General features: G+C 44.7%; 1 protein-coding gene across 6 annotated transcripts in view; it reads left to right on the forward strand.

Annotated features, from left to right (window-relative positions):
• Nucleotides 1-12437, forward strand: part of EVL (Enah/Vasp-like) — a 172815-nt gene that overhangs the window by 46548 nt on the left and 113830 nt on the right. For 4 of the 6 annotated variants that reach the window (XR_007064013.1, XM_005267749.4, XM_047431462.1 and 1 more), the window contains exon 1: nt 1413-1718. The exons of the other annotated variants lie outside the window; for them this stretch is intronic. Coding sequence is in view for 3 of the 4 variants with exons in the window: in XM_005267749.4 (XP_005267806.1) it covers nt 1696-1718 (23 nt within the window). In the remaining variant the exon portion in view is untranslated. Of the gene's footprint in view, nt 1-1412; nt 1719-12437 lie in introns of those variants that run through there. 6 annotated transcript variants of the gene reach the window in all.

Genomic DNA, 12437 nt, shown 5'->3' on the forward strand with positions numbered 1-12437 from the left:
CGTGCGAATGCATGTACTGGATCACTCTTCTCCCTGATAAAAGCTGAGGCAAAAGAGGTTCATTCAGCAAACCTTATGTGAATAATTCCTTTTTGTCAAGTGCTATGTCAGGCATTGGGAATACAGAAATTAACTTCACACATTCCTGTCCTCAAGGAACTCTTAGATTTGCAGGAGAGGCAAACACAATGTTGGATGCCACGCAGGTGGCAGCCAAGAAGAGAGAGCAGTGCGCTGCCCTGTGGGAATCTCAGCCCCTCGGAGAGGGAGCAGTGAGGGAGCAGCACGTGGGCAGCGGCTCACATTAGGGAGCAGCAAAGAACCTCATCCAGCTGGTCCATGGGCCCGAGAAGGGAGGTCCTGACAGATTTTGGGAACTGTGAATGTCTAACTGAATTTGAAGGTGTGTGAAGAGTTTTAGTGGAAGAAAGAATTGGAGAAATAAGACTTTGCATGTCATGAAGAGGCGTGAAAGACTTTATTTCTTGAGCTGTGAGGAGTTAGTAATGCAGGGTTAAACAGAGGCATCAAAATCAGAATTGGTAACTGGTTTTCCTTCTTCCACCCCTTCTCTAAAACTCAGCCAGAGCAATTTTCCTAAGGCCAGAGGCTGAGTGAGGGGCGCTGAGGGCACACCCAGGCTGCGTGAGCGGGTGAGGGGAAAGGGGCAGCTTCAGGCCACCTTTTCCAGGTCGATTACAGTTAGTGACTGATGACACTGGGGTCAAGGGAGAGAAAAAACGTCAAGAGTGACTCATACGTTTTTATTTGAGATCTGCCTTGCTTATTTCACAAAGAGTTGCAACCCGAATGCTGAAGATTTTCCTTCATGGCGAGTCTCAGAATACAACCTCAGCTCATTTGCCAAATCTTGCCAGCCTGATAAACATTTTTCTTTTGGGGGCTGGCATCTCGTTTCCTCCTTCTTCTCTTCTGAAATGATTATAGCAATTTTTGTACTTCAAGGAATTGGTGAGAACCGGGTACCTACTATATACTCGATAAATGAATAATCAAATAAATGAGATCACTAATAAGGAGTGACATGTAAGGTCACGCTGGTCATGGTAAAGTGGTGGACATAAAATGCGACTTGTGATTCTGAAGCAGCTTATGCATTTGTGCTAAAATAGTGTTTGATAGTGGAATGGTAAAATACAGAATTCTGCAGAATTTTTCAGTACTTACGTTCACATATAATGTTGGTCATGCCTGAGCTTATAGCAGCAGCAGCCAGAGGAAGATGAGGTAATTAGGCAGATCACAGCGGAACAGGTTGCATTCTCATTCCTTTCAGCCTTCTCTCCTCTCTCCCCAACCTGCACAGTTCTGGTAGGGGGTGGGATGTGTTACATGCTTTACCCAGGATCCCAGGCGTGCCCTGGGTTCGACTTCTTTCTCTAGACTAATCCAGTTCCCAGCCTGGAGCCTAAGCATACACTGCATTAATCAGACTTGCTGGAATGATCACATGGTTTTCTAGCTGCCTCCCCTGTTAGCTGCCGCTTGTCAGCAGCTGGCGGAGCTGGAGGCTGCAGGCCCCTGTCTGCAGAAAGCCTTTTACTTCAGAATATTGGGGGGTGTGGAAACCCCGCCTCATTTTTCTGCACTTTGCACCATCTGACTAACTAAATGGTTGTCCTCCATACCAAAAAGACTACCACACAATCTAAGGAAATTGTCTCTGACTAGGTCATGTTTGCATTTGAAGAATTCAGGTATGTTCTGGGCTTTCTACATCAGTCTGCTGCTGGCTTTTTGTTCTCGCTAGGTTTTTGCTGTGTAATGACAGCTTAGGCTCTGGCTGGTTCTCACAAAAAAAACAGGGTTCTTTTCAGCTTGTGGTGGGGTTTATCCCAGTCATGGGGGTGGGAGGTGCAGAGGTGGTGCAGGTCAGGGGTGTTTACTGTGTGCAGAAGTGCAGCGTGGATAATTGGTCTGATCATGGGTGAATTTGTCCAGGACCCCACCTTGTGCCTTATTTGAGCTGCTGTTGCTGGTGTAGAGTTGTGAATACAGAATAGCAACTGTGTGTCCAGAATGAGTCTCTTGCTATCTTTTGTTTTTCTTCCTTTGTCAACTCATGCAGTCTACTGCTCTTTTTAAAAAATGCTGATTGTAGCAGTGAAGGTGAAAAATTCTACAAGTCTGTCTGCATAGTTGAGATTTGATTTTGGCTCTTCTTGTCTTCATTATTTTTAGTAGTAATCTCATCGCCGGTCTGTTTTCTGGAAAGTGCCCTGATAGTGTTTTGTTAACAGGGCTCTTTGCTTTCGTATGCTTTTCAGCTGCTGTAATTATTAGTGCTCCAAATTAGATCTTTTGTGAATCTTACTCCCTCTCTTCTCCAGGAATCTATCCCTGTATATAAATGTGGGAAGGGATGTTCCAATAGAAGGAGTTTCTAAGAAATGAAAATAAAGGAGGCGGAATGGGAGGGTCATCAGATTCTTCTTGTGCATATTTCCACCTCTCTGGAACATATGGAAGAGAGTGTGTGTGTGTGTGCACGCACACACACACACTTCCGACTTCTGAAAGCTTCTCATTTTTCAAATGCAATTTTTGTGCATTTTAGAACTGAGCATAAATTCCATATTGATGGGCAAAGAGTGATTGTGCGGGAACCTCAGTTCTACCTCTATGGGCCTTTTTTATTCCTCCAAATGTTGCTGCGGTAGACATTAAAACAATAAGAGAATAACCACCTTTCATTCTTCTAAGAGAAAACTACAGACCTGTTAGCCAGTCAAGGGAGTAGATAAGAGGATCATTAGATCTCCACAAAGAAAAGTCGGACCGTAAAGGTCGTCCCCTGCCCTTTTCAGTAAACTTGATACTTTGGATTCAGGAAGTTATCCTTTGTTTAGTCGTGTGTCTCTGCATTATTTCTAATGGCCTGGGTTTGCGACAAAGAAATTCTTTTTATGTGGCAGTGTGCTCTGGTGACATGGGCCCCTGCCCTTACAGAGTGACCAGAACTTTTATAATAGCCCCATTAGATGACTAACAAGAATTTATATAATGTCTGGCGTGTTACAGTAGATAGGCCCCTGGGTTCTAATGTCTGTTTCAGAAGTAGCTTTTGTGATCCTTGTGAGAGTTATGGAAGCGTTCTGTAATTTGTAGAAAGTAGCGCAATTGCGTAGTTCACGTTTTATTGTTAGCATTTACTCTAGATGAAGTACCCCTGTCTACCCTCTTGAACAGAGCTTGGAGCCTTTCATTACGTTTCATGGTTAGGGAAGAGGGTTATGTATGAACACATCCACTCGCATTGTGGTGGGCTTCTAATCTAAGGGTCAAGAGCTGGGTCTGATGAGGTGGGAGGGGGTTGAATTAAAGGCCATTGCACTGATTGAGAAAAGGGGGCTATCATTATGAAGGGTAGACCACAAAGGGGAGGGCTGTTACCTCTTGCTTCAAGCTTTTGCCTAAGCTGGCCCTGAAAAATTTTACTGGATGTGACTGCATTTTGTGACTGCTGCATGGTGTCAGACAAATGGCTTTCTTCTCTAGTCATGGAGTTTGTGTATGTGGGGGCCCCGTGATCATGGTGGGGCAACACAGGGACTCTAGAGGTACCTGGCTTTTTAGCTTAGTTCAGTGGGGTTCTCTAGCTTTAGCATGCAGCAGAATCCCTGGAAAGCTCATTAAAACTCAGATTGCTGGACCCCACTCCCAGAATTTCTCATTGAGTAGATCTGGGGCGAGGCCTAAGAATCTGTATTTCTAACAACTTCCCAGGTGAGTCTGATGCTGCAGATCTGGAGACCAGACTTAACAACCATTGGCTTAGGAAAAGCAGAAGATTACCTTCATGGAGATGGGAAGTTTGAGGCAAAGGCAGGGTGGAGGTACGGGTAAGAAAAATTGAGAGCAGACAGAAGCAGGTCAAGGACAGGTAGGTGAACCACCGGTCACTTGGGGAGGTTTTGCAGAGCAGTAAGATTATAAACCAAGTTCTCTGTTTCTTTGGGATGAGAATCAGAGAACTTGGTTTTATAATCTCGGTGCCGCTATGAACTAACTTGGTGGGCTTGGCAAGTCTCTTGATCTTTCTTAGTGTCAGCTGAAATGGGGAGAGTGATTCTCACCAAGAAACTCCATAACACTGTTAGAATTAAATGGGATAATATAAACTTTATGAATTACAGCAGTTCTTCCTACATGAATATAAAGGGGGAAGCACATCCTGGGGCCGGCTCCATCAGGTTATCCACACGTGCCTGTAGGCCTCGTTTGTGGACACGCTCCTCCACACATCCCCAGCCCTGAGAGCAGAAGGAAGGGCCACATTCTTGGTTTGTTTTTTTTTTTTTTTTGGAGACAGACTCACTCTCTGTCACCCGGGCTGGAGTGCAGTGGCACAATCTCAGCTCACTGCAACCTCTGCATCCTGGATTCAAGCAATCCTTCTGCCTCAGCCTCCCAAGTAGCTGTGATTACAGGCATGCACCACCACGCCCAGATAATTTTTTTGTATTTTTAGTAGAGACAGGGTTTCACCATGTTGGCCAGGCTGTTCTTGAACTCCTGACCTCATGTGATCTACCCACCTTGGCCCCCAGAAGTGCTGGGTTTACAGGCGTGAGCCACCACACCTGGCTGGCCACATTCGTTTTTAAAAGGAAGTCTGATTTTGACTCAGATGCATTTACTTATTGGACTATGAATTCCATGAGAGCAGAATTCATAAAAACAACAGAATCCTGCCTGTTTTTGTTTCCTTGGCACCTACAACTGCTTGACACACAGTAAGACCTTAATGAGCAGTTGGTACAGTGCATTTTAACCAGAACTTAAGGAAAAGCAAGCAAGCTATCCAGCTAGCTCGGCACAGTCCTGAGGTCGGTGCCATGGTGCCACGTGGGCTGTTTTGTGTGCTGGTTCAGGAGAACGTGTGGAAAAGCTGATAACTGATCTCCTGAGAAAAGCGTGGTGTCCTCAGCACACCCCACTTGCTGGAGTGCCAGAGAAGTCATCACGTTTCATTAAGGAATCCCTGCAGATGATCTCACTCCACTGAGCACTGATGGTTGTGATGATTTACTGCTGCCTGGGTCCCACGCCTAGAGAGTAATAGGAGCTTGAGAGGTTGGGCCAGTGTTTTACAGCTGCCTAGGGGATTTTTGTCTGCCATTGCCTACAAGACTATTGTTCTACCACCAGGCAAGCTGTTCTAGCTGGCTCTTGGGGTAGACACAGGTCACTTGTCCTTTTGCCCTTTTTTTTTTTTAATTTTTTTTTTTTGGAACACAGTCTCACTTTGTCACCTGGGTTGGCGTGCAGCGGCAGGATCTCAGCTCACTGCAACCTCCACATCCCAAGTTCAAGCAATTCTCCTGCCCTAGCCTCCTGAGCAGCTGGGATTACAAGTGCCCACCACCAAGCCCGGCTAATTTTTTTTTTTTTTTTTTTTTTTTTGAGATGGAGTTTCGCTCTTGTCTCGGGCTCCAGCAATTCTCCTGTCTCAGCCTCCCGAGTAGCTGGGATTACAGGCATATGCCACCATGCCTGACTAATTTTGTATTTTTAGTAGAGACAGGGTTTTTCCATGTTGGTCAGGCTGGTCTCGAACTCCTGACCTCAGGTGATCCCCCTGCCTCGGCCTCCCAAAGTGCTGGGATTACAGACATGAGCCACCGCACCTAGCCTAATTTTTGTAATTTTGTAGAGACGGGGTTCAACCATGTTGACCAGGCTGGTCTTGAACTCCTGACCTCAAGTAATCTGCCCACCTCAGCCTCCCAAAGTGCTGGGATTACAGGCATGAGCCACCGTACCCAGCCTCCTTTTGCCTTTTTTAAAAACTTTCTTAGACATCCTTCTACTGAACTGAAAGTTTTAAATAAACATTTGCCTGTTTCTACACACCACAGAGACTGTCTTGAGCATTTTGTGAAATACCATGTAGTTTTCCTTCTACCTCTGGACCCAGAACAGTGCCTACATTTCCTTACCACCCCAGAATGAAGAGTTTTAAATGTGACTTTTTCCCCCATAATCCGTCAAGCAAGAATGGAGCCCAAATCAGAGACTTCTGTTTCTCAGAACTCCTGGTATTTGACTTATTCCGATTTATTTCCGGGAGGAATGTAGTGTACCAAGATCTGAAATCCACAATTGCTATTTGTTAGTCACGTGAAAATGGAAGTTACTATTTTGAGTCTGTTTTATTTTTAAACAAAAACATCATGGAAGGGTTTGAAGTTCAAACTCTAACCAACTTTCTTTATTAATTCAAATTTATATCTACTCTTGGGAAATGTGATGGTTTTTCTTGCCCTTTCACTGGAATATTGAAACAAGTCAAAATGAGTAGTATTGGGGAAGACTTGAAGATGGCAAGGCTAAAGAACCATCCAAGTGTCAAGAGCCCAAGCCAGCTTGGTCTCTCTCATTTTCCAGGCTCCTGTAGTACCTTGAAGAAACAGATGTTTAGTACATTGATCTGAGCTGAGGAAATAAGTCTCAGATGAACAGGAGGTAGAGACTGGGCCAGGCAGGGAAGGGGAAGGAAAAGAACCTTGATCATTGAATACCTGCTGTGTGCCAATCACTGCTGATTGCTTTGCCCAAGGTAACTTTAACTCACATAAATGAAATGGACTCTCTCCTCCATACCACTCTAGCCACGTGGGCCTTGTGCTCCTCCTCTAGACCTCTTCACTGGTTGTATCTCTGCCTGGATTGCCCTGCCCCCAGGCAGCCATGTGGCTTGCTGGAGATGAAAACACAGTCCACATCAGAACTTGTCCTAAACTCTGGGCCCATATATCCATCTGCTTGTTTGATGTCACTACTGGAAGCCTAATTAGGCATCTCAAACATGTCTAACACGGTTCTCCAGCTCTTTCCTGTCCTTTCTTCAGTCTTCCGCAGCCCAGTCAGCGGCAGCTCCGCAACTCCTTCCTTCTAGTTGTTCAGTCATTCTTGACCCCTTTCTCCTACTCTCCACATCTCGTCTCTCATCCATCAAGCAGTCCTACCAGCTCTGTCTCAGAATATACACCAAATCCAACCACTTCCTACTGGCTCTACTACCACCAGCCTTGTCCAAATGCCAGCATCTGAATTGCTGCAGTAGCATTGTAACTGCCCTCCAAGCTTTCTGCCCTGTTCTCTAGTCTCAATTTTTCACCCATTTTCCTTTTTAAGATAAGAAGTCAAATCATGTCACTCCTGTTCTCAAACCACCCACCTCCCCTCCCAGTAACTTCCCACTTCACTGAGAGTGAGAGCACAAGCTCCTTTAATGGCTTACCAGGCCTGCTCAGCCTGGCCCTCTTATCAGATTCCATCTCTAACAGCACCCTGTCTCCTCCACACCACTCTAGCCTTACCAGCTTGTGCTGTTCCTTGAACACACCAGGCTGCCTCCTCCTTGAGGCCTGTGCACTGACAGTCTCTGCCTGGATTGCTCTGCCCCCAGGTGGCCACGTGGCTTATGCCCTGGTCTCTTCCAGGTCTCTACTCAGATGTTACCCTGACCTGTCTTTTTAATATCCCTCTCCCCACAATGGGCACTCCCTTTCTTTTTACTCTGCTTTATTTTTTGCCAGATCACATATCACCATCTATATACTGTAGCTTTAAATTTTATATTTGTTATTGTTTACCTCCCTTAGCAGAACCTAAGTGCCACAAGGATAGGTTTTTAAAAATACACAGTTGGCGGGGCGTGGTGGCTCACGCCTGTAACCCCAGCACTTTGGGAGGCAGAGGCGGGTGGGTTACCTGAGGTCAAGAGTTCAAGACCAGCCTGACCAACATGGAGAAACCCCTACTAAAATACAAAATACAAAAATACAAAATTAGCCAGGCATAGTGGCGCATGCCTGTAATCCTAGCTACTCGGGAGGCTGAGGCAGGAGAATCGCTTGAACCTGGGATGCAGAGGTTACGGTGAGCCGAGATCGGGCCACTGCATTTCAGCCTGAGCAATAACAGTGACACTCTGTCTCCAAAAACAAACAAACAAACAAAACACAGCTGTGGTGGGGCACAGTGGCTCACGCTTGTAATCCTAGCATTTTGGGAGGCTGAGGCGGATAGATTGCTTGAGCCCAGGAGCCCCAGATCAGCCTGGGTAACATGGCGAAACCCCACGTCTACAAAAAGTACAAAAATTAGCCGGGCATGGTGACACATGCCTGTGGTCCCAGCTGCTTGGGAGGCTGAGGTGAGAGGATCATCTGAGCTCAGGAAGTCAAGGCTGCAGTGAGCCAAGATCATGCCACTGCACTCCAGTGTCTCAGGAAAAAAAAAAACAAAAAAAAAACACAACACTGTTGTGTCCATAGTGCCTTGCATACAGTAGGTATCTAATAAATATTTGTTAAATGAATGAAAGAAATGAGAACAGACACTCAGAGAGGTTAAGTAATTTGCTTAAAGTCACCCAGCTGTTAAGGGAATCAGTCAGTTTCAGTTCAGTCCCTCTTTCCCAGATACTATGTGCCTGAAATGCCATCCTATAAATTGACCCTGTGTCTTAACCATCAGCCCAACCTTTCAGTCTTTCCTGTGGGCTCAGAGCTTGTCGTGGTGCCTGGCACGTGCTCCACAGATGTAGGAAAAGTAGGGAACTTCTAGAAAAGGAGCAGAGGGCTTGGGGTAGAATGACCTACCCTCCTCCCAGTTCCCACGGCTCTTCCATCCCATCTCTGTGTAGTGCTTACTACTGTGTAGTTGTATGATTATTAGTTTCTCTCACATCTTCTTCTCTACCAAAGCATGAGCTCCTTGAGGTCAGAGAGAAGGTCGTCATCTTGTATCCCTACCAACTACTGCTGACAGCATACTCTCAGCTCTGGGACGTATTATTAAATGTCTGATAATGAAAATACTTTGAATTAAGTAAGTCACAGTCCCTAACTGTGGGAGCTATGATCCCTCTCTGTCTTGGATCCCCGGGGCCTGTTGGAATCTACAACCATGTGGATCTTTGATAGATGATGGTGGGAGCACTGGTTGGTGGAAGAATGCAGAGGGCAGACAGACCAGGGAGAGAGAATAGAGCAGGTAAGACAGGGATGGACAGACCTCATTGACTTGACAGTTTCACCTGGTGTCCATCTGACAAGCCAAAAGCAAGGTGTTATTTGGGGAAACAAATTATTTATTTATAAAAATTTTAATTATTATAGATACTAAGTATACCTATTTATGGGGTACATGTGATATTTTGATACAAGCATACAGTGTACAATGTGTAATGATCAAATCAGGGTAACTGGAATGCCCATCTCAAGCGTTTATCATTTCTTTGTGTTAGGAAAATTCCAATTACACTTTTTTAGTTATTTTGAAATGTACAATAAATTACTGTTAACTCTTGTTGCCCTATTGTACTACTGAACACTAAATCTTATTCCTTCTATCAAACTGTATTTCTGTACCCACTAATTATCCCTCTTTATTACCCTCTCCCCGTTACCCTTCCCACCTCTGATAACCATCATTCTACTCTCTATCTCCATGACTTCAATTTTTTTTTAGCTCCCATATATTAGTGAGAATATGTAGTATTCGTCTCTCTCGTGCCTGCCTCATTTCACTTAACGTAATGTCCTCCAGTTTCATCTAGGTTGCTGCAAATGACAGAATTTCATTTTTTCTTATGGCTGAATAATATTCTACTGTATATTTATACCACTTTTTTTTTAATCCATTCATCTGTTGTTGGACGCTTAGGTTGATTTGTATCTTTTTTTTGTTTAGACAGAGTCTTGCTCTGTTGCCCAGGCTGGAGTGCAGTGGCATGATCTCAGCTCACTGCAACCTCCACCTCCCAGGTTCATGCAGTTCTCGTGCCTCAGCCTCCCAAGTAGCTGGGATTACAGGCATGCGCCACTATGCCCAGCTAATTTTTGTATTTTTAGTAGAGGCAGGGTTCCCACATGTTGGCCAGGCTGGTCTCAAACTCCTGACCTCAAGTGATCCACCCTCATTGGCCTCCCAAAGTACTGGGATTACAGGCATGAGCCACCGCACCCAGACTCAATTCCTATCTGGACCGTTGTGACTAATGCTGCAGTAAGCTTGGGAGTAAAATCAGTCTCTTCAGTATACCAATTTCCTTTCTTTTGGATATATATTTGACAGTGAGATTTCTGGATCATATGGTAGTTCTACTTTTAGTTGTTTTTTTGTTTGTTTGTTTTTTTTTTTTTTTTTGAGGAACCTCCAAACTGTTTTGGAGTGTCCACAGTGGCTGTACTAATTTATATTCTCACCAGCAGTGTACAAGGGCCCCCCTTTCTCCACATCCTTGCCAGAGTCACTTATTGGCTGTCTTTTTGATAAAACTGTGTGAGATGCTGTTGTGGTTTTGATTTGCCTTTCCCAGATGATTAGTGATGTTGAGCATTTTTTCACATACCTCTTGGCCATTTATATGTCTTTTGAGAAATGTCTATTCAGATCTTTTGCCCATTTTTAAATCAGAATATATGTTTTCTTTGTATTGAGTTGTTTGAGTCCTTTATGCACTGGGAAGCAGATAATTTAGTTGTTAGGATGGCAAAGCAGATATACTTAAAAATAACAATCTATCGGCCGGGCGCGGTGGCTCACGCCTGTAATCCCAGCACTTTGGGAGGCTGAGGCGGGTGGATCATGAGGTCAAGAGATCAGCGCCATCCTGGTCAACATGGTGAAACCCCGTCTCTACTAAAAATACAAAAATCAGCGAGGCATGGTGACACGCACCTGTAGTCCCAGCTACTCGGGAGGCTGACGCAGGAGAATTGCTTGAACCCAGGAGGCGCAGGTTGCAGTGAGCCAAGTTCACGCCACTGCACTCCAGCCTGGCAACAGAGCGAGATTCCATCTCAAAAAAAATCTATTCTTCATTATTAAATAAGCGTGCAGTTGTTGAGTTTTACTCAAAGTGAGGCAGTGTTGTAGATCTAGAGTCCCAATATCTGGCTCCATTTCCTACAAAAGAAATGTAAGCTATGACTGTCACTTTATTTCTCTAGGCCTTAGTTACCTCACATATAGCAAAAGGACTATTTTGAGGATAATGTATAGGAAAGAAGTGTATAAATTATAAAACATTGCTGTATTGTTTGTATATTTTACATTTTGTAATCAGTGAAAGTTTAATCAGTTAATGTTTAACAGATTCAAATGCCGTGTTTTAAAACAGTTTCTGTTATCTCCCATTCCTCTTTGCTTAGTGTAATAGTAGTTGCTTATGCTAATAACAAAAGAAAACAAAGAGGAAGAATTTAGCTGGGCTTCCCAGAGGAGTGAGTCCTGGAACAGAATACCAACTTGGGTCTCTATGTCTCCTGCTGACTACTTAGGGTAGTTGCAAACATATCCTCAACTATGTTGGTTCTGAAAAGTCAGGCAATGGGTCATTTTGGAGGTAGGGATGTGGGAGGGCCCTTTTGATACTAGGATAACCATTCATTGAACAAATACTTCCAGAACATCTACTCAATATAAGCCACAGTAGAAAATGTAAATATGTGTAATCCTTAGTCCTGCCTCCAGGAACACTGTCCTCAAGAGGTGTGGAACAGACAGACCAAAAGCATGGAGTAGCAGGTAGCAAAGATAATACTAACATAGGAGATTGGGATAGATTCCATAGGGATACAGATAACGTGCTGTGGCCGGGAGGTGGACACAGTTTTGCTGTATAAAAGTTAAAAGAGATTTTCAGGAGGAAGCATCTGTGGGAGTGAGCCTTGGAGGGTATAGGATTGGGGTGGATGAAAATCAAGACAAGGGCTGTTAGTAGGTGTGCGGGAGCTGAGGTATAGGAACAGGGGGACAGTGTGCTCTTAGCCATGCTTTAGCTGATTGAGGGGAGAGTTTTTGCTGTCTTCTCAGGGTATAACCCAGGTCCATTTTGTCCTTTCCCTGTGACTGGTGACTTCTCTGCCCTGAAGTTGGCTACTCTGCAGAGATAAACATTTTCACCTCTGGGGAATAAGTAGTAGTGATGGGAAATCCTACTAGGTGTTTTGCCATGCTGCTAGCACCTTGACTTTTCTTATCACCTTGAGCAATTACTTAAGTTCTCTGTGCCTTGGTTGCCTTACCTGTAAAATGGGACTATTACCAATCTCTGACAGTTACTATGCTAATTAAATGAGATTACCTTTTTTTTTTTTTTTGAGGTGGAGTTTCGTTCTTGTTGCCCAGGCTGGGGTACAGTGGCGCAATCTCAGCTCACTGCAACCTCCGCCTCCTGGGTTCAGTAATTCACCTACCGCAGCCTCCCAAGTAGCTGGGATTACAGACATGTGCCACCACGCCCGGCTATTTTTTTTTTTCTTTTGTATTTTTAGTAGAGATAGAGTTTCTCCATGTTGGTCAGCCTGCTCTCAAACTCCCGACCTCAGGTGATCCGCCTGCCTCAGCCTCCCAAAGGGTTGGGATTATAGGCGTGAGCCACCGCGCCCGGCCGAGAT

This window comes from Homo sapiens, chromosome 14 (genome assembly GCF_000001405.40).
Source record: "Homo sapiens chromosome 14, GRCh38.p14 Primary Assembly".
NCBI lineage: Eukaryota > Metazoa > Chordata > Mammalia > Primates > Hominidae > Homo > Homo sapiens.